This window comes from Homo sapiens, chromosome 1, assembly GCF_000001405.40.
Source record: "Homo sapiens chromosome 1, GRCh38.p14 Primary Assembly".
NCBI classification, from domain to species: domain Eukaryota; kingdom Metazoa; phylum Chordata; class Mammalia; order Primates; family Hominidae; genus Homo; species Homo sapiens.
The window spans coordinates 46,277,462-46,305,153 of record NC_000001.11 but is presented as its reverse complement, the minus strand read 5'-3'; the positions used below and the strand labels follow the sequence as shown (position 1 = coordinate 46,305,153).

The window sequence follows — 27,692 nt, the reverse complement described above, 5'->3', positions numbered from 1 at the left end:
TGTAGAGACGGGGTTTCGCCACGTTGCCCAGGCTGGTCCAACTCCTGGACTCATGCTACCTGTCTGCCTCGGCCGTCCTCCTAAAGTGTTGGGATTACAGGCGTGAGCCACTGCGCCCGGCCTCAGGTTCTATTTCTTTTTAGAAATAATAAGACTAGAAAAATTAAGGGATAAATAAGTCTCCAATTATTCTGAACCCACAGCCCAGAATGGCTGCCCCCAAGTGACCAGAGAACAGACGGACAGGAAATGAGATTAGAAACAACTAGTAGCTGTGTCGCAAAATTGATAAGAGTCCTGGTTCTAGAACCGCGCTGCTTGGCCGCAATTCCTGGCTGCACCAATTTGGTAGCTGCATGACCTTAGAAAAGATATTTAACCTCTATGCTTGTTTCCTCATCTGTAAAAATGGCACTAATAGTACCCAACACTTACTTCATAGGAATAGTGTGTAGATGAAATGAATTAGGGCCGGGCGCGGTGGCTCACGCCTGTAATCCCAGGACTTTGGGAGGCCGGGGTGGGCGGATCACTAGGTCAGGAGTTCGAGATCAGCCTGGCCAACAGAGTGAAACCCCCGTCGCTACTAAAAACACAAAAATTAGCCAGGCGTGGTGGCGGACACCTGTAGTCCCAGCTACCTGGGAGGCTGAGGCAGGAGAATCGCTTGAACCCAGGAGGCGGAGGTTGCAGCGAGCCGAGACCACGCCACTGCACTCCAGCCTGGGCGACAGAGCGAGATTCCATCTCAAAAAAAAAAAAAAAATTAATTAGTGCATATAAAGCACTTGGAATAGCAAGCAGTCAATAATTATAGCAGCACTCTTTCTCTGGGAAAGAGCTCCCTCTTCCATCACAGAATCACATCGTACATTCTTTCATTGTCCCCAAAGACACACACCTTCCTCAAAGAAAAGGAACACAAGGCCAGGTCTTCCGAACCTCCATAGAAGATGTGGTAGGGATTCCTAACCTGAGCTGGGGCAAGGCGGTCTGTTTGCTCCCCAAATCTGTGAAACGCGGGCTTCAGAACATCTGACTGACTGCAAACATAGGTCATATTTTTACAAGACTTTAGTCCACAAAACATTTTCGCTCTCAAACCTTCACTACATTCACAGAATGCAGAAGCCGAGGCCCAGAGAAAAACTAGTCATCTATCTGTCCAAAGTCACCGGACGAATTCTGGGGAAAGGTCGAGGGAACTAGAGCTCCCGACTATGCAAACCCTAGAGGGTAAACTGGGGGCTAAGAGGGCCCCGTGCGTGTTTTGGCGGGCTAGGTCCTGGGCTTCAGGGCAGAGAAGAGGGCCGAGTGGATCGCCTTGCCTTACCTCCTCAGGATCTCCGGATTCGGTAAGCATCTTTTGCTCGTCCTCCAGTCCCATGTCTGGCTACGGTTCTAGATTCAACACGAGCAGCAACAGCGGCACCTAACCCAGTTCAGGATCAAGAAGGACTTGTAAGGGTCACTCAGCGGAAATCCGGCGATCTGGCCGGAAGTGCGGCACACTCATCGTGGTCGCGAACACATGCTCAGATTGGCATGTACTACCAGCCGCAGGCAGAGGTTAGGGGTAGCTGATGTTTGCACCCGAGGAGGCTTTGCTAAGAAACATCCCCTTAGTCATACCACACCCAAGTATAATTGATCTAGGAGTTTATCTAAAATAGTAGCTCCTAAGAGACTTGGAAAGTGTGCTAATTTCTTCGAAATTTCTTTAGAATAATTCACATTCTTCCCCATATCGCTTATGGAGCCGTCCTAACTGCTGACCTTTTCAAGATGGCGGTCCGCGGGCGACACTCTCGGGCTCGCGCACCTCCCCAAGATGGCGGCGCCCGAGGCCTGGCGCGCCCGGAGTTGCTGGTTCTGTGAGGTAGCGGCGGCAACGACCATGGAGGCCACGTCCCGGGAGGCGGCGCCAGCGAAGAGCTCGGCCTCGGGCCCCAACGCTCCCCCCGCCCTGTTCGAGCTGTGCGGGCGGGCGGTGAGCGCCCATATGGGGGTTCTGGAGAGCGGGGTGTGGGGTAAGTCGCGGGGTGAGGGGCTACCTCTGGCTAAGAGCAAGGGGCGGCCCAGCGGCCGGGGGGCGCGGGGGGCGAGGCCGGGAGGCCCGGGGCAAGGCCCAGCCTGGGGCGCTGAAAGCCAGCTCGTAGGATCGGAGAATGAATTTTGTGACTGACAGGGCTGGACAGAGTAAAGACGGAGACCTAAATGGGCAGGCTGACCCGCACCGCGGCCTGGCTCGGGGGCGCGGGGGGCGAGGCCAGGAGGCCCGGTCTGGAGCGAAGCAGGCTGGGCCCGGGCGACTGAGGCTGGATTGCGGCTGTGGGCCGCGCGAACTGACACTCGGCTGGGCCGGGCAGGAGAGTCTCGGATGTCGAACCGGTGGGCAGCGATGGCCCGGCTGCCCTAGGGCAGGGGCCGAGGTTAGGAGGCCCGGCCTAAGGCAAGGCCAGGCCAGGCCCGGGGCCACCGAACCTGACTGATGGCCCCGGGGCTCCAGCATCTGCCTGACACGCCACGGGGGTCGAGATTCCGGAGGCCAAGCCGATGGGCGGAGGGGAGGACAGCAGATTGGAGAGCGAGGGAATGGGGCAGGGGGAGAGGCCGAACGAAAGGGTCGGGGCGCCGCGGCCTGTCTGACGGCCCAGGGCTGACGGGAGCGAACCGACAACCGGGGTCTCGGGTGCCAAACTGACTAAGCGACCGAGCGACCGTGCGACCCGCAGGACAGGGAGCGCCGGAGGCCACTCGGATCGGCTCGAGCGGCGAGGAGGGACCGGAGAGCGAGTGGAGGGGGGCCCGGAGCGGCTTAAACAAGCGAGGGAGGCTCGAATGACGGACAGGCGGGAAGGGCCAAGGAGGCCCCAAGCGGGGCGACGGCCCGGGGATCCCGGACTGCCGGGCTGCCGTGGCAGGGGGCGCGGCGCCGCCAAGAGGCCTTGGGCTGAATGGGAGTGAACGGGGGCCCCAGGCCTGAAGGCGGCCGGGACCAAAGGGCCGGGCCTGGATGGAGGGCGGCCTGGGGCGCCGGGATGAACGGCCGGGGAGGGCGAACCGGCCAGTTGGGCTGGGAGGCGGGGCTGTGGGTTGGGGACCGCTGGCCGCGGCCTGGCCGCTGACGAGGGAAACTTGGGTCCGACGTGGGGCAAGTGAAAGAGGGGAAAGTGAGGCTCTGCCAAGCAGGCCTAGCCGCGCTGGGGACAGGGGAGGCCTCGGGCCTGAGAGGCTGCTGGCTCTGTGAGGGTGGGGTCGGGAGGCCGGGGTTGGAGTTGGGCGAAGAGGTGGCAGGCCCGGCCGAGGCCTGCTGGGGAGGGGGGCAGGAGAGCAGGCCCCGGGCCTGGAAGCGGCGCGGGGGAGGTTCCACCAGGAGGCCTTGCGGGTGGCCGTGGCGTCTTTGCAGGAGGAAGGCCCTGGTCAGGACAGGAGTGAGGACTTTGAGGACTCGAGGTTGCAGGGCGCGGAGTTTGAGTTATGCCATGAGGAGGGGGTGTGGGGAAAAGGCCCTGGAGTTTGGGGGGACTGAAGCTCCGGGATAAGCTGGAGGGTGGTCGGGGAGGCCCTTGGCTGTGGGAGTGGAGCCCAGTACCATGAGGCCTGAGTGTCCTGCATAGTGGTGGTGGAAGAGGCTTTTAGAAGTCGGCCGGTGTGCGGAGGGGACAGTGGAGGCCCCAGGCCAGCCAGCGGCTGAGAAGACAAGGGGCAGGCCGACCCATGGGGAACAGGAGGAAAGGCTCCGTAGAGCTGAGCAGGGAGCTCAGAAAAGTCCTAGGGCATGGGGAAGAAGGCAGAGAGGGTCTGGCTTTTCCGCCTGGAGCTTCTGGGATGCTAAGACTGGCTAAAAAGGAAGATGACTGGGTGCGGAGGCCCAGGTTGGGAAGCAGCAGCATTAAAGGTGCAGGCTAGAAAGAAGCAAGGAAAATCCCGGCTTAAGAAGAATGGAGAAAGGAAGAGAGGAGTTTGTGGGTAACTGGGGATGAGAATTCCTGTGGCTGCAAGAAGAGATGGCTAACTAGAGGGGAGCAGGTTGGAGGGAAAAGGGGTAAGGCTCTGGAGGAACTTCTTCCCGTGTGGCCTCTTCCCCCTAAAACAATTGACAGTTTACTGAATCTCCCTTTCCCCTTCTCCCTCCCCTACCACTGCTGTACATACCACCATCCCATTACTGGCTGAGCCCCCAGCCAAGTTGAGAGGAGACAGGGGAGGAAGAGCTCCTGTGGGCCTAGACCAGAAAAAGCTGAATCAAGTGAGGCCTTTTAGGAGAATAGCCAAGGAAGAGGCCTGCTAAGCATTGCTATTTTAGAGGAAGGTCTGTGTGGGCTAACAGCCAGGAAAGGCTTCCTGGAGGTAGTGGACTAGCATCGCTTTGTGTAAGGAGTTGGGGCAGCGGGTGTATAGAGGCAGCAGGAAAGGGTACAATGAGGAAACTTTAAAATAAGGTATATTATACCTTGAATACCAGGATATGGAGTTTGGACTTTATCATGAATGCAGCAGAGAGACCTCCAAGGGTTTTGAAGAGGGTAGTGTCATCACCAAGAGCAGGATGAAGAGGGACTGGATGGAGACTGAAGTGAAGGAGAGCAGTTAGGCTGTTGTAATAGACCAGATGAAAGGTGATGTGGACTACATTCGTGTAAAAGCATAGGGAATTAACACTTTCATTCAGCCCGTACATCGAGGACCTACTATGTACAAATAATTATACTAGATTCTTGGATGTCAAGATTCAGTTATTCTGTAAGTAAAGATAAAAAGAGACCCTGGAGCGGAAGTTTTGGTATACTCCAAGATCTTAGACTTGTTCTTTTTCTTTGAGATGGGGTCTCACTCTGTCACCCAGGCTGCAGTGCAGTGGCATGATATCAGCTCACTGCCACCTCTGTCTTCTGGGCTCAAGCAATTCTCCCATCTCAGCCTCTCGAGTAGCTGGGACCACAGGCGTGCCCCACAACACCCAGCTAATTTTTTTTTGTATTTTTGGTAGAGATGGGGTTTTGCCATGTTGCCCAGGCTAGTCTCAAACTCCTGGACTTAAGCAATGCCCCCTACCTCTGACCTCCAAAGATTACAGGAATTACAGGTGTGAGTTTGACTTGTTCTTGATTGGACAGAGATGCCATTGACAGGATAAAAATAACCACCAACATTTAGCGAGCTTATTATGGCTGGGCATTGTTTTAAACAGATTATAAGCATGATCTTCACAACAATGTCATGAGTTAATTACTGTTATCTCCATTTTATTTTATTTTATTTTATTTTATTTGTGAGACAGAGTCTTGCTCTGTCGCCCAGGCTGAAGTGCAGTGGCGCCATCTCGGCTCACTGCAGTCTCTACCTCCTGAGTTCAAGTGATTCTTGTGCCTCAGCCTCCCAAGTAGCTGGGATTACAGGCGTGCATCATTACACCTGGCTAATTTTTGTATTTTTAGTAGAGATGGGGTTTCACCATGTTGGTCAGGCTGGTCTCAAACTCCTGACCTCAAGTGATCTGCCCGCCTTGGCCTCCCAAAGTGCTGGTATTACAGGTGTGAACCATTGCATCCCACCTATTTTTTATTTTTTGAGGCAGGGTCTTGCTCTGTCATCCAGGCTGGAGTGCAGTGGTCTAAGCACAGCTCACTTCAGCCTCAACCTCCTGGGCTCCAGCCATCCTCCCACCTTAGCCTCCCAAGTAGCTGTGACCACAGGTGCACACCATCACACTCTGCTAATTTTTGTTTTGTTTTGAGATAGGGTTCTCACTGTGTCACCTGGGCTCAAGTACAGTGGTGTGATCATAGCTCACTGTAGCCTCGAACTCCTGGGCTTAAGCGATCCTCTTAGCCTCCCAAAGTGCTGGGATTACAGGTGTGAACCACTGTGCCCAGCCTCCATTTTTTTCCAGTTGAAGAAACTAAGGCTTAAAGAGGCTTAAATAATTTGTCCAAGGATTCACATTTAACTAAGTAGTTAGGATTGCACTCAGATTTGTCCTACTCTAGAGGCCAAACCCTTTAGACACTATACTATAACAGCTCTTAGAACTAGAGAAGTTGGCAAGAGCAGGTTTTGTTTTTAAGATATATTGACTTTAGAGACACGAATTGTTTCTATTCTTCATAGGAAAGTACTAGTTCAGAATATAGCAGTAGCCCAAAGGATGGTAGTGGTTAATCTGGAAAAATGGAAAAGGAATTCAGGAAAGACTTAATAAAGGGCATGTGATACTTGAAAGATGAGTAGTTGATATACTGAAAGTGGCAACGACATTCCTATTAGAACAGCATGACAAAGGACATTCCTATTGGAAAGAACAGCATGACAAAGGTACAGGGGCAGAAAGCGGCATAATATGTTAGGTAAATGAAAAAGTAGTTAAGTGTGGCTGAAATGTAGGAGGCAAAGCAGGGAGCTGATACTAGCAGGGCAGATTATGAAAGACCTTTTATCACACATATTCAGTAGGTCCTTTTCAATGCCAAATGGTTCATTTTGCTTGGGCAGAAGTGAACTGACCAGCTCCTAAATAAGCATGTCAAGCTCATTTAGCATGTCAGCTTGTTTTGTGGGATGATCTCACCCTTGCCCCTGAAATTCCAGCTTCCAACTGAGTGGCTGAAGATAAGTGGACTAGAGTTTGGAACAGATCTAGATTAGCTTCTAGAGGTTCCATTTGTCAAATGAGAAGTCTACCCTTCCATTTTCCTTTCCAGTAGAATAAATAATGCTTGGAAACCTCTTGGGTGGGAGGGGGAGGGGAGGAAAAGTAAACTTTTGTTTTGATTTTTGTAGCCCTCCCAGGCCCAATACTTCAAAGCATCCTACCTCTGCTCAATATATATTACTTGGAGAGGATTGAGGAAACTGCCCTCAAGAAAGGTGAGTATCTTTCTGTCTCTTTCTCAGTCAATGATTATGAGCAAGGCACCATAATGTTCTTCCGGTAAATATTACCCCTGATACCTGCTAGAACTTCGTGCTTTTCAAAAAGTACCTTCACACCTATTTTTCTTCCTCATTCCTCAGTGTCCTATGAAACACAAAGCCAAGTATATGATCTTTATTATACTGATAAAAGTGAGACACAGGCACACCACAATTAATAGCAAAGCCAGAACAACAACCCATATCTTGTGAATCTTAGTTTCTCTATTTTACCAAGCTTCCTCCCCTCATTAGACACATCTGTTAACAGGTAACATTTAACCCTAATGTGTCAAGCATTGTCCTAGGCACTTTACCCACAGAAACTCATTTACCCTAATCCTTTCAACAACCCTATGAAATAGCTGTTATTAACATTTTACAGATGAGGAGACTGAACCACAGAGAAATTAAGTAACTTGCGCAAAGTCACATAGCTGGAGTGTAGTTTGCTGATATTCACACCCAGGCAATCTGTCTTTAGAGCCAGTGCCCTTAATCACTCTGCCATATTGCTCCTGTGAACCCAGAAGACAACATGAAAGGTTGATGTACTTTACTCATGGTGGCCAGTAAGCAGCCAAGTGTGATATTTCTCCTTACAGGCCTCTCAACTCAGGCCATCTGGCGCCGACTCTGGGATGAACTGATGAAGACAAGGCCTTCCAGTTTGGAAGTAAGTTAAGGTATCAGGTAGAATGCTAGCCTGATTTTGCATGGTAAAAGCAGGAATAGCACACAAACACAAGCTGGGTACTGATAAAGTGCAGAGGCAATGATGGAATGGATTTGGGAGGAGGGCTCTGATGGCTTGTCACAAGGTTTTGGTCCATTTGGCATTTGTCACTGAATTGCTTGCTCACTGTATTTGCAGGGGACACAAAACAGGGAAAGTTAGTGATCACAATGGATGGCAGAGCCAGGATTCCTAGAGTTCTTGATGGTGTTGGTGCAGTGGTCAAATCTAACAAAATGAAATTTAATAGAATACACCAATACTTCAATGAGTTTTAAAAGTTCCAATTGCATGGTATCGGGATGAGGGATAAAGGAGTATGATTAGTAACAGCTTGTATAAAAAAGATTAAGGGAGTTTAGTCAACAATGTGTTGAAGCCACTTATAACGACTATACCTTGAGCTGTGTGAACTAATGTAAATATAGTATAGGCTGAAGGACAAGGTGGACAACAGTCCTGCCTAGCTCTGCAATGGTCAGGCTACCCGTGGAGATTGGAGAAAGTCAAAGCCACATTATGTGAGTCACATTGGGACAACTGGAGATGTTTTTCCTGAAAAAGAGAAGACTTGGGAAACATGACCCATCTTGAAATATATGAATGGCTGTCACATGAAGGAGGGATTAATAGACTTGTTCTGGATGGAAGCTAATGGAAGATACATTTTTGCTAACCTGAAGTTTACGTAAAGCTTAAACCCTGAGCTTATGAAACAAGCTAATTCTAGAGGTAATAAACTTCCCATCACTAAGTTCAAATGGAGTCTGTGTAACTCCTTGACACTAGGGTGTTCTGCAGGGGATTCAGCATTGTAAAAGGGGTTGCACAAGATGACTTTTAGAGCTCCTTTTAGACCTGAGATTCTATTATTCACTGATACAGATATAAATCACTGGAGCTCTCATTTAAGCAGTTTCTTTTGCTGCCCCATAACTAGGTGATGGGGTAGATTTAATTCAATAAACATTTACTGAAACTTAACCAGGTACCAGATCTTACACTAGATATTGGAAGAATAGATGCAGCCTCTAATCTTAAAGACCTAACAGTTTTGTTTTGTTTTGTTTTGTTTTGTTTTGTTTGAGACGGAGTTTTGCCCTTGTTGTCCACGCCGGAGTGCAATGGCGCAATCTTGGCTCACTGCAACCTCTGCCTCCCGGGTTCAAGCAATTCTCCTGCCTCAGCCTCCCAAGTAGCTGGGATTACAGGCATGCGCCACCACACCCAGCTAATTTTTTTGTATTTTTAATAGAGACAGGGTTTCTCCATGTTGGTCAGGCTGGTCTCGAACTCCTGACCTCAGTTGATCCACCCACCTCGGCCTCCAAAAGTGCTGGGATTACAGGCGTGAGCCACCTCGCCCGGCAAGGACCTACCAGTTTAATAGGGAAATCTACAAATAGATCACATATGATAGGATAAGTGGTGTAATAGAGGATAGTAAGAAGGTTGAGAGAGAAGAGAATAAGAAAGTCTTTCCTAGGAAGTAGTATTTGAACTGGGCCTTCTATGGTGAATGAGGCCAAATAACAGGTGGAAAAAAAGCTAATGTCAGGAATTGGAGATTTAATTTCTGGGGATGCACTGGGTTCAGTAACATTGAACCCCATCTCCTTCGGCTTATTCACTTCCAAATCTGGACTGCAACCCTTGGCGTTCAGAATGAGGACAACAGACCTTATGAGGAAGAGAAGCAGACTCAAGAATATTAGAAAACAGTAACTGCTTTTTGCTATCTTTAAGGAAACATCAGATTCACTTTGTTCCAGTATTTCACAAGCACTAGAGTTGACCAGCAAGTGATAAAGATTATATTTTTCTCTTGGAGAAAGCTTTCTGTCTTCTTGGCTCAAAGCATTTCAGAGCATTTAGAGGCCCCAGGCTTGGTGGCCCAACAGTCAGTTAGGCAGAGGTCCTAACTTGGAGCATGTCCATTCCAGAGGGTGTCTTTCCGCTTCCCACTTTTGCATGACAATAGCCTTCAGCTCATAAGTCACAAACAGTTATTCAGTGCCTGCTCAGTTCCATGCATTATGCTAGGTTCCAGGGATACAATGGTGAACAAGATAAATATAGAATGCTTATAAAGCAATAGTATTTCAAACTGTGTAGTACTGGGGTATATAAAGAGATCTGTAAGGTCAGGCACGGTGGCTCACACCTGTAATCTTAGCACTTTGGGAGGCTGAGGCAGGTGGATCACTTGAACCCAGGAGCTCAAGGCCAGCCTGGGCAACATGGCAAGACTTTGTCTCTACTAAAAATACAAAGAACTGGCTGGGCATGGTGGCACATGCCTGTAGTCCCAGATACTCGGGAGACCAAGGTAGGAGGATCACCTGAGCCTGGGAAGTCGAGGCTGCAGTGAGCCAAGATCGCACCACTGTACTCCAGCCTGGGCAACAGGAGAGAGACCCTGTCTCAAAAAACTAACAAATAAAAAAAGATCTGTATAATAGAATAGATACTCTGGAGAAAAAGCAATGAATAAATTAAGATTTACCCAATAAATTATTCTCTAGCAATTGGTTAGCTATTTGGAAAAAGTTAAGTTAGAGCCTCACTTTACAGTATACTCTAATGACTTTTGTATAAACAATAAATTGTGGCCGGGCACAGTGGCTCACACCTATAATGCCAGCACTTTGAGAGGCCAACGCGGGTGGATCACGAAATCAGGAGTTCAAGACCAGCCTGGCCAACATGGTGAAACCCTGTCTCTACTGAAAATACAAAAATTAGCTGGGCGTGGTGGCACGTGCCTTTAGTTCCAGCTACTCAAGAGGCTGAGGCAGGAGAATTGCTTGAACCCAGGAGGCAGAGGTTGCAGTGAGCCAAGATCACATCACTGCACTCCAGCCTGGGCAACAGAGCAAGACTCCGACTCAAAAAAAAAAAAAAAAAAAAGAATTAGTTGTAAAAAGTAAAGGCACAAGAGTCGGGTACAGTGACTGACATCTATAATCCCAGCTACTCCAGAGGCTGAAGTGAGAGGAATAGCTTGAGCCTAGGAGTTGGAGGCTGTGATCATGCCACTACATTCCAGCCTGGGGGACAGTGCAAAACCACGTCTCTTAAAAAAAGAAAGAAAGGGCTGGGCGCGGTAGCTCACACCTGTAATCCCAGCACTTTGGGAGGCCAAGGTGGGTGGATTGCTTGAGCTTACGAGTTTGAGACCAACCTGGGCAACATGGAGAAACCCCGTCTCTACAAAAAATAGAAAAATTATCCTGTTGTGGTGTTGTGCACCTGTAGTCCCAGCTACTCAGGAGGCTGAGGTGGGAGGGAGCCCAGGAGACAGAGGTTGCACTGAGCCGAGATCACACCATCGCACTCCAGCCTGGGCAATAGAGCCAGAACTTGTCTTAAAACAAAAACAACAAAAAAGTTTCAACACCAAAGAATAGAAAAAAATAATTTAAAAAAGAATAAAACCAACAGGCAGGTGTGGTGGCTCACACCTGTAATCCCAGCACTTTGGGAGGCTGAGGTGGGCAGATACTTGAGGTCAGGAGTTGAGACCAGCCTGGTGCATATGGTGAAACCCTGTCTCTACTGAAAATCAGGCATGGTAGTGCATGCCTGTAATCCCAGCTACTCTGGGATTACTACTTGGGAGGCTGAGGCAGAATTGCTTGAACCCAGGAGGCAGAGGTTAAAATGAGCCGAGATGGCACCACTGCACTCCAGCCTCGGTGACATAGTGAGACTCTGACTCAGAAAACAACAACAACAACAACAAAACAAAATAAAAATACAAAAATTAGCCGGGCGTGGTGGCACACACCTGTAATCCAAGCTCCTTGGGAGGCTGAGGCATGAGAATCACTTGAACCCAAGAGGCAGAGGTTGCAGTAAGACTAGATCGCTCCATTGCACTCCAGCCTGGGTGAGAGTGAGACTCTGTCTCCAAAAATAATAAAACCAATAAACAAAAAAAAGTAAAAGCACAAATCAGGCCGGGTGTGATGGCTCATGCCTACAATCCCAGAAAAACGTTGGGATGCCAAGGTGGTCAGATTGCTTGAGCCCAGGAGTTCAAGAACAGCCTGGGCAACATGACGACACCTTGTCTCTACAAAAAATACAAAAGTTAGCTGGGGGTGCTGGTGTGCGCCTCTAGTCCCAGCTATTAGGGAGGCTGAGGCAGGAGGATCAATTGAGCGTCAGGGGTCAAGGCTGCAGTGAGCAATGATAATGACACTGCACTCCAGTGTCATAACCTGTCTTAAAAAAGAGCACAAAACAACTAAAGAAATAATAAAAGTGACCATCCTAATCTCAGGATGGAGAGAGTACTAATTTTTTTTTTTTTTTGAGACGAAATCTCGCTCTGTCGCCAGGCTGGAGTGCAGTGGTGCGATCTCAGCTCACTGCAACCTCTGCCTCCCGGGTTCAAGTGATTCTCCTGCCTCAGCCTCCCGAGTAGCTGGGACTACAAGTGCGTGCCACCATGCCCAGCTAATTTTTGCATTTTTAGTAGAGATGAGGTTTCACCATGTTGGCCAGGATGGTCTCCATCTCTTGACCTCGTGATCCACCCGCCTCGGTCTCCCAAAGTGCTGGGATTATAGGCGTGAGCCACCGTGCCCAGCCGAGAGTGCTAATTATTAAATGCACAGAACCAAGAAAGAAAATACAGACATATTTAACCACATAAAATGCTAACACTATCTTCAGGACTTTGTATTGATTAAATTAAAAAAATGAAAATGCCAACACCATAACCAAATTTTAAAAGGTAAATACACTGGGAAAGAACATTTGCAACAATATTTGCAAAACAAAGGGACACAAAATAAAAAGACAAATATCCCAGTAAAATAAAATGAGTAAGGATTTGGACACATCATGAAATACACAAAAATCCCCAGTAAAGTGAAAAATGTTGTCTCATGATAAAAGTGAGAAAGTAAAATCCCTATTTCACCTCTTAGTTTAGTAAAGTCTTGTTTTGATTTGGTTTTCATCGCAAAGGTAATGCCTAGGTTTGGCCATGGCGAAATTTGCATTTTACTATGCTATTGGAGGGAACAGAAATTGTTGTAACTTTCTTGGTAGGCAATCTGGTAATATTTGTTCAGACTTTAAAATATCTAGGCTGGCTGGATGTGGTGGCTCTTACCTGTAATTCCAGACTTTAGAACACCAAGGCAAGAGGATCACTTGAGCCCATGAATTCGAGACCAGTCTGGGCAACACAGGGAAACCCCATCTCTACAATAATTTTTTTTTTTTTTTGAGACAGAGTCTCTCTCTGTCACCCAGGCTGGAGTGCAGTGGTATGATCTTGGCCCAAGTAGCTGAGATTACAGGCGCCCATCAGCTCGGCTACTTTTTGTATTTTTAGTAGAGACAAGGTTTCACCACATTGGCCAGGCTGGTCTCGAACTCCTGACATCAAGTGATCCACCCACCTTGGCCTCCCAAAGTGCTGGGATTATAGGTATAAGCCACTGTGGCCGGCCTGCAATAATTTTTAAAAATTAGCTGGGCGTGTTGGCATGTACCTCCCAGCTAATTGGTAAGCTAAGGTGGGAGGATCACTTGAGCCCAGGAGGTTGAGGCTGCAGTGAACTATAATAGCACCACTGCACTCCAGCCTGGCTGACAGAGACCCTCTCCTCCCCAGAAAATTTAGGCTGGGCGTGGTGGCTCCCACCTGTAATCCCAGCACTTTGAGAGGCCGAGGCAGGTGGATCACCTGAGGTCAGGAGTTCAAGACCAGCCTGGCCAATATGGTGAAACCCCGTCTCTACTAAAAATACAAAAATTAGCCGGGCGTGGTGGCGCATGCCTGTAGTCCCAGCTACTCAAGAGGCTGAGGCAGGAGAATCACTTGAGCCTGGGAGGTGGAGGTTGCAGTGAGCCAAGATTGTGCCATTGCACTCCAGCCTGGGCGACAGAGCAAGACTCCATCTCAAAAAAAAAAAAAAAAAAAAAAAAACCAGCTGGGGCAACACAGTGAGACCTTATCTCTACAGAAAAAATTTAAAAATTAGCTGTGCATAGTGGCATGCGTCTATAGTCCCTACTACTTGGGAGGCTAAGGCAGGAAGATTGCATGAGCCCCAGGATTCAAGGCTACAGTGAGCTATGATCTCACCACTGCACTGCAGCCCTGGGTGATGGGACAAGACCCTGTCTCTTAAAAAAATAATTTGGCTATAAGTTCTACTCCTTAGAATTTATAGTATATAAAAATTGAGATACTCATGAAGATTTATTTCCAGATGTTTATTACAGAAGAGTTTAATATAAAAAAGCTAGTAACAGGGTCAGGCACTGTGGCTCATACCTGTAATCCCAGCACTTTGGGAGGCCAAGGCGGCGGATCACTTGAGGTCAGGAGTTCAAGACCAGCCTGGCCAACATGGCGAAACCCCATCTCTACCAAAAATACAAAATTTATTTGGGTGTGGTGGCACGTGCCTGTAATCCCAGCTACTTGGGAGACTGAGGCAGGAGAATAGCTTGAACCTGGGAGATGGAGGTTGCAGTGAGCCGAGATCGTGCCACTGTACTCCAGCCTGGGCAACAGAGCAGGAATGTCTTAAAAAAAAAAAAAAAAAAAAAAAAAAAACTAGAAACAGGCCGGGCATGGTGGCTTACGCCTGTAATCCCAACACTTTGGGAGGCCAAGGCAGGTGGATCACCTGAGCTCAGGAGTTTGAGACCAGCCTGGCCAACATGGCGAAACCCTGTCTACTAAAAAATACCAAAAAATTAGCTGGACATGGTGTTGTGTGCCTGTAGTCTCAGCTACTTGGAAGGCTGAGGCACAAGAATTGCTTGAACCCGGGAGGCAGAGGTTTCAGTGAGCTAATATTGTACCACTGCACTCCAGCCCAGACCAGGGCGACAGAGGAAAAAAAAAAAAAAAAGCTAGAAACAATGGAAATATTAAATACAGCAAGTATTATTACATATGGTACACATTTTCAAAATAAAATATTCTAAAAATATTTGAATACATGGTATGTTTTAAAAGCCCAGCATTTGAAACTGTTCAGAATTGTCTCAATGTTGTAAAAACAAATATATATAGGTACTCTCATATATGTAAATACTCCAGAGTTAGTTTACACTTTTGAGACGGTCTCACTCCAGTTGCCCAGGCTGAAGTGCAGTGGCACGATCTTAGCTCACTGCAGCCTCAACCTCCCAGGCTCAGGCGATCCTCCCACCTCAGCCTCCCAAGTAGCTGGATTACAGGCATGCACCACTATGCCCAGCTACATTTTTTCTATTTTTAGTAGAGATAGGGTTTTGTCACATTGCCCAGGCTGATCACAAACTCATGGACTCAAGCAATCTGCCCACCTTGGCATCCCCAAGTACTGCGATTACATGCATGAGTCACCATGCCTCGTCCATGATTTTTCATTTGCTTCTCTATCCACACACAGTATTTCTGGTATCAGCAAAATAATGAACAAAATATAGTTTCTGAATATTGTTGGCTCTAACAAGTTAGCACAAGATGTTTAGCCCTCCCTAGTTTGTACAAATACTTCCTCTTCCCCTACCAGCCCACTGAGGATGGGCCAAGGATTGTGTTGTTGGGCAAACATCACTTCACCTCATTGATCATGCCTCATTTCCCTTACCCTCACAGAAAACAAAGTACTAAATCACTTTGCATCGTGATAGCATACGAGTCCATAAAATGAGTGGTCTGGACTAGATCTCAAGCATCTCTCAGCTTCGAATTTTAGCATAGACTCCTTTTTTTTTTGGAGACGGAGTCTTGCTCTATCGCCCAGGCTGGAGTGCAGTGGCGCGATCTCAGCTCACTGCAAGCTCCGCCTCCCGGGTTCACGCCATTCTCCTGCCTCAGCCTCCTGAGTAGCCAGGACTACAGGCACCCGCCACCTCGCCCGGCGAATTTTTTGTATTTTAGTAGAGACAGGGTTTCACCGTGTTAGCCAGGATGGCCTCGATCTCCTGACCTTGTGATCCCCCCCGCCTCGGCCTCCCAAAGTGCTGGGATTACAGGTGTGAGCCACCGCGCCCGGCCCATAGATTCTTAAGAGTGGTGATGGAATAAAACTTCATGATCTCTTGTCTGCTCGTACGTTAATTTGTGAGAAAGAAGCCACTGAGAGCTGTCATAACTTTACTCATTTAACTGTCACAAAAATGCTGTGATGTCAGTATAGTGATCTTCCACTTTATAGATGATGAAACTAAGGCAGAAAGAGGTGAAATGACTTGCCTAAATTACAGTTAGTGAATGGCAGACCCAGATTCAGGTTGAAGCAGTCTGCTTCTGGAGTGCATGTTCCTGATCACTGTGTCATGCTGCTCACTGCAGTTGTGTCTGGGGTGTTCCAAATATTCTGTCTCCCATTGTCTTCATCAACCATTAACATGTCTGAAAAAGTCCAGTATTTACCTATCTAACCTATATTTCCCCTGTGCCTCTTATAGCCAGAAACAGCCACAATATCTTGACTCACCATCTTTGTCCATATTTTAGGCACAGATATTGTAATAACCATCTGACTCACTCACTTATAAAGCTGAAGCCTTGCTAAGGTTACCTGCAAGTGTTTTTCAAGACTGGGTGTGGGCCAGCAAATCTGTAGGAAAAGTGCTAGTGTGAGGTAGGACCGAAGGATACCTTCTTTGCCTTCACTCAAAGTTGAGCAGAGATTTGGTTGCCAGGTATTGTTTTTCCTGCTCTTAATGTCCTGCTGCTGATGAGCAAGGCCTTTCTGTGTTGCTGCTATGCAGTTATTTCAAGCAGGAAGTCATTCCTAACTATTACCACAGTAAGTGGAGTCTGGGGAAATAGCTAAGGCAACAGGAATGACACTTTTGCTTGAGGACAGCAGAGGCCTAGTTCCTTCTAAGAACCTCAAATAGGAACTGAGAGTCACTCCAGTATGGAGGAATGCATGGAGGCAGGGTAAGGATCAAAGAAATGTTTTAGTCTTGGGGAACCTCAGGCCCCCACAGCCTTGGCTTTAGTCTGAATGAGCACCATGCTTAACAGGCTCTGCCTCCATTTCATATCCCAGCTAGGCTAATAGCAGTGGCAGCAGTAACATTTTTTATATCTTACAGTTTACAAAGTGCTTTAATTTGTACTACTTCATTTTGATCTTCACAACAATCCTGTGAAGCAGGTTATCTACATTTTGCAGATGAGGGAAGAGGTTCAGAGAAGTCCAGAGTATAGTGAAAGAGCTGGGACCTGACTTTCTACTGCCCCTGAGATGACTTAGGGATCATCTTAAATTAGAAACTTTGGGGTCTGGTACCTGTCTTTGTCTTGGTGTGCCCTTCTGGATCAGCAGTAATTCCTAACCTCTGATATACATCAGAAACATCTGGGATGGTTCAAACAATAAAGATGTCTTGACCTTACCTCAGATGTAACATAGAATCACCAAGTCTGGGTGTCTGGTATATGAATTTTGGGGAAGAAAAGCTCCACAGGGAATTCTGATGTGCACCAAAGGCTGAGAATCACTTGCATTCAGAGTTGTATTAAACACATCAGAATAGTCTGATGAATCGCTTCTCGGCCTTTTGGCTAAGATCAAGTGCAGAATAGTCTGATGAGATTTCCTATCCGTCAAAATAAATAACTGTTGCCTTGGAAGAAACAAATCAAGATTTGGTTTCTGCTTTCTAAGAATTTCTAATCTGGCTGGGATAAGACATGTACACAGGCAAAGGGACTCAACACCATGAGACAACATACCAGCCTCTTAGTCTTGAGTAGTCAGAGTGTCAGAGGAGTCCCAACAAGAATCTCAAATGACATGTTTCTAAGTTCTTTCAGGAAGTCTAATTCAGCAATGGAGACATTTCTGGTAGATGTAGGAAAGGACATAGGCAGGTTCAAGTCCGTGGGGTGACCAGCTTGGCTAGAGCAAAGCATTCTCATAAGCAAGATGTGGGAAATAAAGCTTCTCAGGCAGAGGGTGGAAGGGCAGTAGGGAGACATTAGGGTTTTAAAGCAGTATGATGTAATTAGTGTTTTACAACACTACTTTGGGGACAGGGAAAGCAATCAGGAAGCTAGTGGTCAGGTGTGAGGTGATAAGGGGCTGGTGGTGGTAAGAATCAGAAGTTGGAGGCCAGGCGTGGTGGCTCACGCCTGTAATCCCAGCACTTTGGGAGGCCGAGGCGGGCGGATCATGAGGTCAGGAGATCGAGACCATCCTGGCTAACAGGGTGAAACCCCATCTCTACTAAAAATACAAAAAATTAGCCTGGCGTGGTGGCGGGTGCCTGTAGTCCCAGCTACTCGGGAGGCTGAGGCAGGTGAATGGTGTGAACCCGGGCGGCAGAGCTTGCAGTGTGCCGAGATCACGCCACTGGACTCCAGCCTGGGCGACAGAGTGAGACTCCGTCTAAAAAAAAATGAAGTTGGGATAAGGGGCTAGGTGCGGTGACTCACACCTGTAATCCTAGCACTTTGGGAGGCCAAGGCGGACGGAACACTTGAGGTCTAGAGTTCAAGACCAGCCTGGTCAATATGATGAAACATACAAAAATTAGCCAGGTGTGGTGGCGGGCGCCTGTAATCCCAGCTTCTCTGGAGGCTGAGGCACGAGAATCACTTGAACCTGGGAGGCAGAGGTTGCAGTGAGCTGAGATCACACCACTGCACTCCAGCCTAGGCTACAAAGTGAGACTCTATCTTAAAAAGAAAAAAAAAATTGGGATAAGGTTCTAGAAACAAACATGGAAGAACTTACAGGGGTGAGTGTTTCAGTGGAGACACTATAATAAAAGCATGGTCTCTGGAACCAGATTTCCAGGGTTCAAATAATCCAACCACTTACCTGTGTGGCCACCTCTTTGTGCCTCGGTTTTACCTGTAAAATAGGGCTAATAATAATACATACCTCAGAGATGTGAAGATTAAATGAATTTGTAGTGTTGCCTGACTCAGTAAATAGTGTGCTATTGGAAGAGAGGGAAATTTGGACAGTTTCATGGATATATCATGGCTGTCTGGCATGTTTTCTGCGTTTCAGAGTGTGACATGTTGGCGAGCCAAGTTTATGGAGGCCTTTTTTTCCCATGTTCTACGTGGGACCATTGATGTGTCTTCTGACAGGCGTCTTTGTGATCAGCGGTTCTCACCTCTTCTGCACAGCTCCCGCCATGTCCGACAGCTCACCATCTGTAACATGCTGCAGGGTGCAACCGAGCTGGTGGCTGAGCCCAACCGCAGGGTTCTGGAGACCCTGGCCAGCTCCCTGCACACTCTCAAGTTCCGCCACCTGCTGTTCTCTGATGTGGCTGCTCAGCAGTCACTTCGGCAGCTGTTGCATCAGCTCATTCACCATGGGGCTGTCAGTCAAGTGTCGCTATACTCCTGGCCTGTGCCTGAGTCAGCCCTTTTCATCCTTATTCTCACCATGAGTGCTGGCTTCTGGCAACCAGGGCCTGGTGGCCCACCCTGCCGCCTCTGTGGAGAGGCCTCCCGAGGCCGGGCCCCATCCCGAGATGAAGGGTCCCTCTTATTGGGCTCACGTCGGCCCCGCCGGGATGCTGCTGAGCGATGTGCTGCAGCCCTGATGGCCAGCCGGCGTAAGAGTGAAGCCAAGCAGATGCCCAGAGCTGCACCTGCCACTCGGGTAACACGCCGGAGCACACAGGAGAGCCTGACAGCAGGCGGAACAGACCTTAAGAGGGAGCTGCACCCCCCAGCCACCTCCCATGAGGCTCCTGGCACCAAGCGGTCACCTTCTGCTCCAGCAGCCACCTCCTCTGCCTCTTCTTCTACATCCTCATACAAACGGGCACCAGCTAGCTCAGCCCCACAGCCTAAGCCCCTAAAGCGTTTCAAGCGAGCTGCAGGGAAGAAGGGTGCTCGCACCCGTCAGGGGCCTGGTGCAGAGTCTGAAGACCTGTATGACTTCGTTTTTATTGTGGCTGGCGAGAAGGAGGATGGCGAAGAGATGGAGATTGGGGAAGTGGCTTGTGGAGCTTTGGATGGATCAGATCCCAGCTGCCTGGGGCTTCCAGCACTGGAAGCTTCACAAAGATTCCGCAGCATCTCCACCTTGGAGCTATTCACAGTTCCACTCTCCACAGAGGCAGCCCTGACACTATGCCACCTGCTGAGCTCCTGGGTGTCACTGGAGAGCCTCACACTCTCCTACAATGGTGAGCACCCTGGAGTGGCAGGGATTGGGCTTAGATTGCCTAGCAGCACCAGCTGTGTGCCTAATTCTAGGGAGGTGGGAGGGGCAAATTGGGGGTATGATCAGGAGGTTAGAGAGGAAGGCTTGTATGCCTCATAGCAGGGGAGACTGTCATTGCTAGAAGAGAGGAACATAAAGTCTATACACTTGATTAGTTGTTGAAAGCAGGGGTTCCTGAGGGGCAGTGAGACAAGCCAGCTGGAATCTGAAGAATGAATACATTTTAGATATGGAAGGCAGTCCAAGGGCAGGTGGGAGCAGTATAGTATATGCATGCTCAGGCAGGGCTAGAGTTTGACCTCACCACCTCACCAGTCATATCAGAGTAGCTGTCCAGACAAGGTGTGGGACACAATTTCTTATCAGACCAACAACCTGCAAAGCAGTCCTCAGTCCTCATTTCCCTCCTGCTTGTGACCAGCTAGCAAAACCTCAACTCTGGCTAAATCCAGCAATCCGCCTAGGTTGCTGAGCACTGCTAGAGACAAATCATACAACTATGCAAATCAGTGTTACTATATGATCACTAACCTCGTATGAACCTTCACTGTGCTTGCAACATCAGCTCCCATTCCTACCACTTCCAAACTCTCCTTTTCCCTTCTCAGGGATGACCTCACCTACTTCACAGAGAAAATAGAAGCCATCACACATGAGTTTCTTTAGCTTGCTAAGCAGCCTATAAACTCTCCATCTGCACTCATCCTTCTTTACCAGAATAGAAGAGACCACCATCCTTTCTAAGGCTAATTCTCCCACCTGTGCTCTAGATGCATAGAGCTTCACAACAAAGTATATAAAAATTACCAGTTTGAGAAACAAGCATTCTACCTTCTTAGGGAAGCTTGTTTCTCAAACTAATTTTTATATACTGCTTAGTATGTGTCTGGCATATTTTAAGTATTCTTGATAATTTGATCTAACAATCCTCACAACCCTATGAGGGCAAGTGACTTCCTCAGGATAACCTAGCAATTATAGAGCTAGGATTCAAAACCCAGGCAACCAGACTGCAGATTCATGCTTTCAAACAACTATGCTACTCTCCTTTCCACCGTCTCTCTCCTATCAGCATTTTAACAGGTCTCCATCAAAAACTGCCACCACCACCTCCCTCTATGCCATATTAATAAACTGTTATCTCCTGTTCTTCACAACCTTAGTTATCTGTACTGTTTCCACTTCTCTTACTCACAGCCCCTTCCAGCCTCTTATACCCCTACCACTGCACTGGCAAGGACCTATGTCATCAGGGTCCTCCTTGTTACTAGATCCAATGTATACTTTTCAGTAACTCTTCTTGGCAGGATTTACTGCTGTTCATTAAATTTTTTTTCACTACCTTAAAAAATGTTTTCTTGGCCGGGCGCAGTGGCTCACGCCCGTAATCCCAGCACTTTGGGAGGTCAAGGTGGGTGGATCACGAGGTCAGGAGTTCAAGACCAGCCTGGCCAAGATGGTGAAACCCCATCTCTACTAAAAATACAAAAATTAGCCAGGCGTGATGGTGGGCGCCTGTAATCCCAGCTACTCAGTGACTGGAGATCGTGCCACTGCACTACTGCACTTTAACCTGGGCAACAGAGTGAGACTCCATCTCAAAAAAAAAAAAAAAGTTTTCTCCTCCTCTGTTTATTCAGAGTTCCTCAGAGCTTTCCCACTTTATGCACGCTTCTTGGACAATTTCATCCATTCCTGTGGTTTCAAAGGCCAACTATGCTAAAGACTCCCCATTATGTGACATTACCCCAGATCTTTCTCTTGAACTTCCAGACCCATTTATCCAGCTAGTAGACATGACAACTTCATAACCCACAATACCCCACCCAACTCATTACATCCAACTTGAATGCATTTTTATATTTTTAGTAAGGACAGGGTTTCCCCATATAGGCCGGGCTGGTCTCGAACTCTTGGCCTCAAGTGATCCACCAACCTCGGCCTCCTACAGTGCTGAGATTATAGTCATGAGCCATTAAGCCCAGCCCTATCTTTACAATTTGTTAAATACATTTATTTCTCTATCTCCACATCCTTAATTCAAGCTACCATTACCCACTACCTGAACTAATTTCAGTAGTTCCTCCGGACTCCTTACTCTTGCCATACAAATCCATTATCTGCACTGCAGCCCAAGCATCCTTTGAAAAATGCAGTCTTGATTCTTTAAAAAAATCAGTCAAAAATGACCCTGTCATTCATTTATGCAAACACCCTTCAATGGCTTAATTTTACTTAGTGGTCATTCATATTCTTACTCCTGGTTATCTCTATAGTTGTATCTTTTTTTTTTTTTTTTTTGACAGGGAGTCTCTGTTGTCACCCAGGCTGGAGTGCAATGGTGCAATCTTGGCTTACTGCAACCTCCGCCTCTCGGGTCCAAGCAATTCTACTGACTCAGTAGCTGGGATTACAGGCACATGCCACCATGCCCAGCTAATTTTTGTATTTTTAGTAGAGACGGGGTTTCACTATGTTGGCCAGGCTGGTCTTGGGCTCCCGACCTCAGGTGATCTGCCTACCTCAGCCTCCCAAAGTGCTGGGATTATATAGGTGTGAGCCACCACACCTGGCCTATAGTTGTATCTTGAATGCTTCCCCCCTTCACACTCTCACACCAGCCATTATGAAATTTTTTTGTTCTCCTTCAGGCCTCTACATATGCCAAGTTGCCTCTGCCACAATCATTCTTCCTAAATTTTAGCCTGTCCCCTTTATGTTCTTTAGGACTTAGCTGGAGTGCCTTTACTGATGTAAGCTGGACTAGGTACTCATCCTTTGTAATTTCATAGTACTTTATTCCCCCAGTTCCCATCGCATTATCAAGCTATGTAAGAAAAAAAAGCAATGTGCTGCTCACTAGTGTCTAGCAAAAAACTTGATATTTAGTAGGCACTGGGTAGTTGAATGAATGAACAGGAGCCTGCATAGTCCAAGGAATTATTTGCCTGTGGCATTAAGCAACCAACCTTCCTGGATCCTAGTCCATGCTGTGGGATTTGGTTATCTTTTCCTGCCCCATTCCCACCCATTGATTCTTTTAAGTATCCCAGTTGGGTCACTGTCACTCTCCATAGTTTTTAGGTGCTCCCTATTGCGTCTAGGTTAAACCATCCCTTTGCCTTTCCATAATGTGGCCTCCAGTGCCCTGCCCTCTAGAGCTGTTTCCTGAGCCTCATGTAGCCAAACAAGCAAGCGTCTCATTCATGCCTTGCACTCTCCTAGCTGTGATTTTTTTTTTTTTTTTGAGACAGTCTTGCTTTTTCACCTAAGCCGGAGTGCAGTGGCGTGATCTCAGCTCACTGCAACCTCCGTCTCCTGGGTTCAAGTGATTCTCCTGCCTCAGCCTCCCGAGTAGCTGGGACTACAGGCATGTGCCACCCAGCCCAGCTAATTTCTGTATTTTTAGTAGAGACAGGGTTTCACCATGTTGGCCAGGCTGGTCTGGAACTCCTGGCCTCAAGTGATCTGCCCACCTTGGCCTCCCAAAGTGCTGGGATTACAGGCGTGAGCCACCGCTCCCGGCTAGCTGGGACTCTTGACTATGTCTTCTCCCTCTATCCAAAACTTCCTTCCTTCAAGGCCAGTTTCTTCAGAAAACTACTCAGAACCCAGAAATCCAGAGAACTGCTACTGTCTGTGCCTGTCATTCAGCTAGTAGCCACATGCTGCCTCACCATATTGTATCTTCTCAATTTTGTGACTCTGCCCTGACTGGTGCTTCTTGTGGGCATAACCCAAAACAGCAGACCTCAGTTTGCTGGTTACCTAAGGAAAAAGCAAGACATGGATGAGTAGTTAAGACAAATGGGTTTAAATAAGCTGAGCCAAAGCCCAAGAGATTTGCTAGTAACCAAAAGTATTTGGAGTTGTATTTGAATATATTACCCCTGCTGACACTCCCACATGGTTCTGACTTAATCTCTTTCTTGCCATAGGCCTGGGCTCTAACATCTTCCGCCTGCTAGACAGCCTGCGGGCCCTGTCAGGCCAGGCTGGATGTCGCCTCCGTGCCCTGCATCTCAGTGACCTGTTCTCACCACTGCCCATCCTGGAGCTGACACGTGCTATCGTGCGAGCACTGCCCCTGCTACGGGTCCTCTCTATTCGTGTTGACCACCCAAGCCAGCGGGACAACCCTGGTGTGCCAGGGAATGCAGGGCCCCCTAGCCACATAATAGGCGATGAGGAGATACCAGGTGAAGCACTGTGTGTGTGTTTGTGTGTGTGCACGCACGTGTATCCCCACACAAAGGTGCAGATGCATTCGTATGGGGAAAGGGGAAGGACCTCTTCTATCACTCATTCCTGGCTTATCTGGAACCTATCCCCCCTTTAGAGCCTACCACTAAGATACTCTTGAGCTAGACAGGGCCTAAACCACCATAAGACCAGCAGAGAGTGACCAAGGCAGCTTGGTCTCCAGAAAAGGAAAAGAACTGATCTTTAGACTGGATTAGTTCCCCTGCTGTATGTTCCCTTAGTTCTTGTATGTCTCCTATCCCACCACTCTGCATACTTTATTTGCTTGTGTCTGGGTAGCCTGTCTTCCTGGTCTAAAATTTCTACAAGGGCAAGGACTAAATCTCATATTTAGTGCTCAATTCCTAGAATCTAGCACAGTGCTGACATATGGTAGGCACTCAACGACAAGTGAATGAATAAATAATTTTTTAGATGAATCCCTTAAGAACAGGATGGGACCTGCTATGGGAGTGAGGTAGAGATGGCCAGCTGGAATCTTCTTTCCCCACCATATCCAGAAAACTGCCTGGAGCAGTTGGAGATGGGATTTCCACGGGGAGCCCAGCCAGCCCCACTGCTGTGCTCCGTTCTGAAGGCCTCGGGTTCTCTGCAGCAGCTGTCCCTGGATAGTGCCACCTTTGCCTCTCCCCAGGATTTTGGGCTTGTTTTGCAAACACTCAAAGGTAGGACCCAGCCAGAATGGTGAAGGGAGAGGAGTAGGTGGGGACCTAGCACTGTTCTCTAGGAAAGCTAAGGTCCATGGTCCATGGTCTCTGCCTCCTATCCAGAGTACAACCTAGCCCTGAAAAGACTGAGCTTCCATGACATGAATCTCGCTGACTGTCAGAGCGAGGTGCTCTTTTTGCTACAGAATCTGACTCTGCAAGGTAAGTTCCTTATTCAGAACCTGGACATTTCCTGGGTCTTCACTATGGTTCTGCCATAATCTGAGTGAGCAAACCACTGTTCCTTTCTTGGCCTTGTGTCCTCAGCTATAAAATGGATATAGAACCTGCATGATTTTCCTTCTAAAAGCCCCAACCTCAATTCCTCCTCTACTAAACATGAGAAATCGCTCTTTTAGAGTGCTTCACCCAAAAGTTGCTCTTACCTTTCAGAGGTGGACAAAATGGTGGTGGTGGGGCAAAATAAATGTACTGTGCCAGGCTCCCCTCATAGACTTTTCTCTGATCCCCACCCCCGCATAGAGGGTGGCCAGTGTTAGGGAAAGAAGGAAGTGAATGGAGAATTGTCCATGCAGAGAACCTTCTTATAGGGAACATTTAGGTTCAGTCTTTAGTTTGGATTCTGATTTAGTTCCAGCCTTGCTTGGAGTCTAGACAAATTCCTTCCTCTTTTTGGGCCTCTATAATGTTAATACCCCTTGCTAGGGCCAACTGGGGCAGGAGGGGCAGCACCAGTCCTAATGCAGCCATCAGAATTTACTATAATTTTTCTTGACAGAGATTACCTTCTCCTTCTGCCGTCTGTTTGAGAAGCGCCCAGCCCAATTTCTGCCTGAGATGGTTGCTGCTATGAAGGGCAACTCCACACTGAAGGGCCTCCGGCTGCCAGGGAACCGCCTGGGTGGGGGCCAGACCCTGGGGAGGGAGAGGGGAAAGGAGCTAGGCCTTTGACCTAAAAACTCACTGGATAAAGGCAAAGACCTCTCCACTGGGAACGTGGGAGTTGGAATACAGATATTTCTGTGCTGGGGCTTCAGGAACCAGCAGGGCTGGTTCTGCCAGCCATAGTTGGGTTGGGATACCCTTGTCCCCTGTTCTTGGGTGGAGGTGATAGGCGTTCTCCCCTTCTCTCCAGGGAATGCTGGCCTGCTGGCCTTGGCAGATGTTTTCTCAGAGGATTCATCCTCCTCTCTCTGTCAGCTGGACATCAGGTACATGAGGGGAGGGGCAAGACAAGGGATGGGGCTACAGAGATATAGACCAGGAATTCACTGCTTCCTGGATATCTAATCCATCTCACCCTACCAGTTCCAACTGCATCAAGCCAGATGGGCTTCTGGAGTTCGCCAAGCGGCTGGAGCGCTGGGGCCGTGGAGCCTTTGGTCACCTGCGCCTCTTCCAAAACTGGCTGGACCAGGATGCAGTCACAGCCAGGGAAGCCATCCGGCGGCTCCGGGCTACCTGCCATGTGGTTAGCGACTCATGGGACTCATCCCAGGCCTTCGCAGATTATGTTAGCACCATGTGATGGGGCCCGTACCTCACAGTCTCATGCTCGGTACCATCAGCTTGCAGGGGCTGAAGCATGGGCTGCCCAGAACCCCAACCACCAGTTCTATCTTTCTCTTTCTGTCACCTTTTTTCTCTTTTTTCCTTCTTCCCTTGCACTGAGGTCCTGGAGGCCTTGATGAGGCCCAGCAAACAGGCATTCTCACAGCTGGGTTTATAGTCTTTGGGCCCCTTACTCAGTATCCTGGGAACCCTGGGCCAGGAGGTTACAGTGGTCATCATAATTGCTGAAGAGATCCCCTCCCCTGCCCCTGGGTTCCTGCCTTCCCTCCTCAAGCAGGCACCCAGGCTTTAGAGAAGTATAGGGGGCTTCTTCCCTGCTGGGCTTACCACACTGCTCTCAGGCCTCAAACCCTTTCATACCTTTATTCTTTTTTTTAACCAAAAAAGTTTTTCTTATAAAATAAATTTTGGGCAAACATCATGCAGCCCTTCTTGATGATTTTCTCCCAGAGAACAAAATTCAACAGGGCCCTGTGGAGCAAGGAGCCCCTTTTCCCTATCTCCTTCCTCTAAGAGCTACACCCAGACCAGCTGGTTATCAGCGGAGGCCCCGCTGCTCCTCATGAGAACGCTGGTGGAAGACGAAGGTGATGGCAGTGGAGGCAGCATCCCAGGCAGCCTGGAGTACCTCATCCCGGAGCCCCCACTTATCAGTGCAGTGGTTCCACCCTGCCAGGTCTGAAGTGCAGTCAGAACCATCAGGGGGTGGCCGGATCTGACGGCTGTTGACACAACGTCGGCAGTGCAACCTAGGGACAGAAGGCACAGCTGAAGTCACTACAGATCCCATCTCCCTACTGTGTGGGTAGCTTAGAGATAATGGTTAGGGCACTTCCCCACCTGTCATGTGTGTCACTGAGGCTAGCTTCATCCAGGATAAACAGCTCCTTCAACTCGCCCAGAGAGAAGTGGCGCTCTACATCCTGCTCCTCATCCACCACACAGCTGCTCAGTGCCTTCTTGTGGCTCTGACGCTGGAAGATCTTCTCCTCAATGGTCCCTGCCTGGGGAAGAGGAGGTGGGGAATGTCAAAAGATACAGCGCTTAGCCATCCTCATAAAAAGGGAGCAGGAAAACCAAAGGGTTGAAACTACAGCTACCCGAGAAGAGGAGATGAATAAAAAGTATGAGTCCCAGAACATTATCTCTACTCAGCTGAGGTCCATTTTCCCAGTCTGTCTCCTGAGAACATGACATGAATAGTCTGCCCACCCAGGCTACTTTCTATACTAATGAAGGGTCCCAGGGCCTGGCTAAATCCCGTCAGGGTGAACTGAGGTTTGTCTGCTGCAGCTTCAGATTTCTGCACCAAGCCCAACTCTAACTCATTCAATAAATATCATTTAGGTATCTATTCTA

General features: G+C 48.3%; 3 protein-coding genes across 8 annotated transcripts in view, besides 15 other annotated features; 1 reads left to right on the top strand and 2 right to left on the bottom strand.

The window, feature by feature from the left end:
• Positions 1–1,456, bottom strand: part of UQCRH (ubiquinol-cytochrome c reductase hinge protein) — a 13,079-nt gene extending 11,623 nt beyond the window's left edge. For all 3 annotated transcript variants that reach the window (NM_001297565.2, NM_006004.4, NM_001297566.2), the window contains exon 1: positions 1,334–1,456. Coding sequence is in view for 2 of the 3 variants with exons in the window: in NM_006004.4 (NP_005995.2) it covers positions 1,334–1,387 (54 nt within the window). In the remaining variant the exon portion in view is untranslated. The remainder of the gene's footprint in view (positions 1–1,333) is intronic.
• Positions 702–1,283: an enhancer, noted in NCBI's record as "H3K27ac hESC enhancer chr1:46769543-46770124 (GRCh37/hg19 assembly coordinates)". NCBI's record gives its function as "activates a minimal SCP1, AML or CMV promoter by ChIP-STARR-seq in primed H9 embryonic stem cells {active_cell/tissue: H9 hESC(primed)}" and the evidence as "EXISTENCE:reporter gene assay evidence [ECO:0000049][PMID:30033119]".
• Positions 1,284–1,867: an enhancer, noted in NCBI's record as "H3K27ac hESC enhancer chr1:46768959-46769542 (GRCh37/hg19 assembly coordinates)". NCBI's record gives its function as "activates a minimal SCP1, AML or CMV promoter by ChIP-STARR-seq in primed H9 embryonic stem cells {active_cell/tissue: H9 hESC(primed)}" and the evidence as "EXISTENCE:reporter gene assay evidence [ECO:0000049][PMID:30033119]".
• Positions 1,284–2,002: a biological region, named in NCBI's record as "H3K27ac hESC enhancer GRCh37_chr1:46768959-46769542".
• LRRC41 (leucine rich repeat containing 41) lies at positions 1,538–27,692 on the top strand. 2 transcript variants are annotated; one of them, NM_006369.5, is made up of 10 exons: positions 1,538–2,030; positions 6,784–6,870; positions 7,521–7,591; positions 18,655–19,792; positions 23,769–24,029; positions 24,594–24,758; positions 24,864–24,962; positions 25,540–25,662; positions 25,897–25,972; positions 26,070–27,692. In NM_006369.5, the coding sequence occupies exons 1-10, from the start codon at positions 1,832–1,834 to the stop codon at positions 26,287–26,289; spliced, it is 2,439 nt and encodes an 812-aa protein (NP_006360.3). In that variant the 5' UTR covers positions 1,538–1,831; the 3' UTR covers positions 26,290–27,692. The 2 variants fall into 2 exon arrangements, with proteins under 2 accessions (NP_006360.3, XP_047287644.1); XM_047431688.1 differs by lacking the exons at positions 1,538–2,030; positions 25,897–25,972; positions 26,070–27,692 and adding an exon at positions 2,123–2,391 and having other exon boundaries at positions 25,540–25,890.
• Positions 1,603–2,002: an enhancer, noted in NCBI's record as "active region_997". NCBI's record gives its function as "activates an Ori minimal core promoter by ATAC-STARR-seq in GM12878 lymphoblastoid cells {active_cell/tissue: GM12878}" and the evidence as "EXISTENCE:reporter gene assay evidence [ECO:0000049][PMID:35858748]".
• Positions 1,993–2,052: a silencer, noted in NCBI's record as "silent region_844". NCBI's record gives its function as "represses an Ori minimal core promoter by ATAC-STARR-seq in GM12878 lymphoblastoid cells {active_cell/tissue: GM12878}" and the evidence as "EXISTENCE:reporter gene assay evidence [ECO:0000049][PMID:35858748]".
• Positions 2,103–2,152: a silencer, noted in NCBI's record as "silent region_843". NCBI's record gives its function as "represses an Ori minimal core promoter by ATAC-STARR-seq in GM12878 lymphoblastoid cells {active_cell/tissue: GM12878}" and the evidence as "EXISTENCE:reporter gene assay evidence [ECO:0000049][PMID:35858748]".
• Positions 2,183–2,332: a silencer, noted in NCBI's record as "silent region_842". NCBI's record gives its function as "represses an Ori minimal core promoter by ATAC-STARR-seq in GM12878 lymphoblastoid cells {active_cell/tissue: GM12878}" and the evidence as "EXISTENCE:reporter gene assay evidence [ECO:0000049][PMID:35858748]".
• Positions 2,683–2,752: a silencer, noted in NCBI's record as "silent region_841". NCBI's record gives its function as "represses an Ori minimal core promoter by ATAC-STARR-seq in GM12878 lymphoblastoid cells {active_cell/tissue: GM12878}" and the evidence as "EXISTENCE:reporter gene assay evidence [ECO:0000049][PMID:35858748]".
• Positions 2,783–3,332: a silencer, noted in NCBI's record as "silent region_840". NCBI's record gives its function as "represses an Ori minimal core promoter by ATAC-STARR-seq in GM12878 lymphoblastoid cells {active_cell/tissue: GM12878}" and the evidence as "EXISTENCE:reporter gene assay evidence [ECO:0000049][PMID:35858748]".
• Positions 2,783–3,615: a biological region, named in NCBI's record as "H3K27ac-H3K4me1 hESC enhancer GRCh37_chr1:46767211-46767793".
• Positions 3,033–3,615: an enhancer, noted in NCBI's record as "H3K27ac-H3K4me1 hESC enhancer chr1:46767211-46767793 (GRCh37/hg19 assembly coordinates)". NCBI's record gives its function as "activates a minimal SCP1, AML or CMV promoter by ChIP-STARR-seq in primed H9 embryonic stem cells {active_cell/tissue: H9 hESC(primed)}" and the evidence as "EXISTENCE:reporter gene assay evidence [ECO:0000049][PMID:30033119]".
• Positions 3,423–3,542: an enhancer, noted in NCBI's record as "active region_996". NCBI's record gives its function as "activates an Ori minimal core promoter by ATAC-STARR-seq in GM12878 lymphoblastoid cells {active_cell/tissue: GM12878}" and the evidence as "EXISTENCE:reporter gene assay evidence [ECO:0000049][PMID:35858748]".
• Positions 3,616–4,198: an enhancer, noted in NCBI's record as "H3K27ac-H3K4me1 hESC enhancer chr1:46766628-46767210 (GRCh37/hg19 assembly coordinates)". NCBI's record gives its function as "activates a minimal SCP1, AML or CMV promoter by ChIP-STARR-seq in primed H9 embryonic stem cells {active_cell/tissue: H9 hESC(primed)}" and the evidence as "EXISTENCE:reporter gene assay evidence [ECO:0000049][PMID:30033119]".
• Positions 6,068–6,569: an enhancer, noted in NCBI's record as "NANOG hESC enhancer chr1:46764257-46764758 (GRCh37/hg19 assembly coordinates)". NCBI's record gives its function as "activates a minimal SCP1, AML or CMV promoter by ChIP-STARR-seq in primed H9 embryonic stem cells {active_cell/tissue: H9 hESC(primed)}" and the evidence as "EXISTENCE:reporter gene assay evidence [ECO:0000049][PMID:30033119]".
• Positions 19,246–19,870: an enhancer, noted in NCBI's record as "H3K27ac-H3K4me1 hESC enhancer chr1:46750956-46751580 (GRCh37/hg19 assembly coordinates)". NCBI's record gives its function as "activates a minimal SCP1, AML or CMV promoter by ChIP-STARR-seq in primed H9 embryonic stem cells {active_cell/tissue: H9 hESC(primed)}" and the evidence as "EXISTENCE:reporter gene assay evidence [ECO:0000049][PMID:30033119]".
• RAD54L (RAD54 like) overlaps positions 26,681–27,692 on the bottom strand; it is a 30,786-nt gene continuing 29,774 nt past the window's right edge. For all 3 annotated transcript variants that reach the window (NM_001142548.2, NM_001370766.1, NM_003579.4), the window contains 2 exons: positions 27,174–27,337; positions 26,681–27,082 (listed from right to left, as the gene is read on the bottom strand). In NM_001142548.2, the coding sequence (NP_001136020.1) occupies positions 26,872–27,082; positions 27,174–27,337 (375 nt within the window). In that variant the 3' untranslated portion in view covers positions 26,681–26,871. The remainder of the gene's footprint in view (positions 27,083–27,173; positions 27,338–27,692) is intronic.

Bases quoted from the DNA above. Each gene is read 5' to 3' on its own strand.
- LRRC41 (NM_006369.5), top strand. From the start codon at position 1,832: ATGGCGGCGCCCGAGGCCTGGCGCGCCCGGAGTTGCTGGTTCTGTGAG. The intron at 6,871-7,520 runs GTGAGTATCTTT...TTCTCCTTACAG, and splicing joins GGAAACTGCCCTCAAGAAAG to GCCTCTCAACTCAGGCCATC. The intron at 25,663-25,896 runs GTGGGGGCCAGA...CCTTCTCTCCAG, and splicing joins GCTGCCAGGGAACCGCCTGG to GGAATGCTGGCCTGCTGGCC.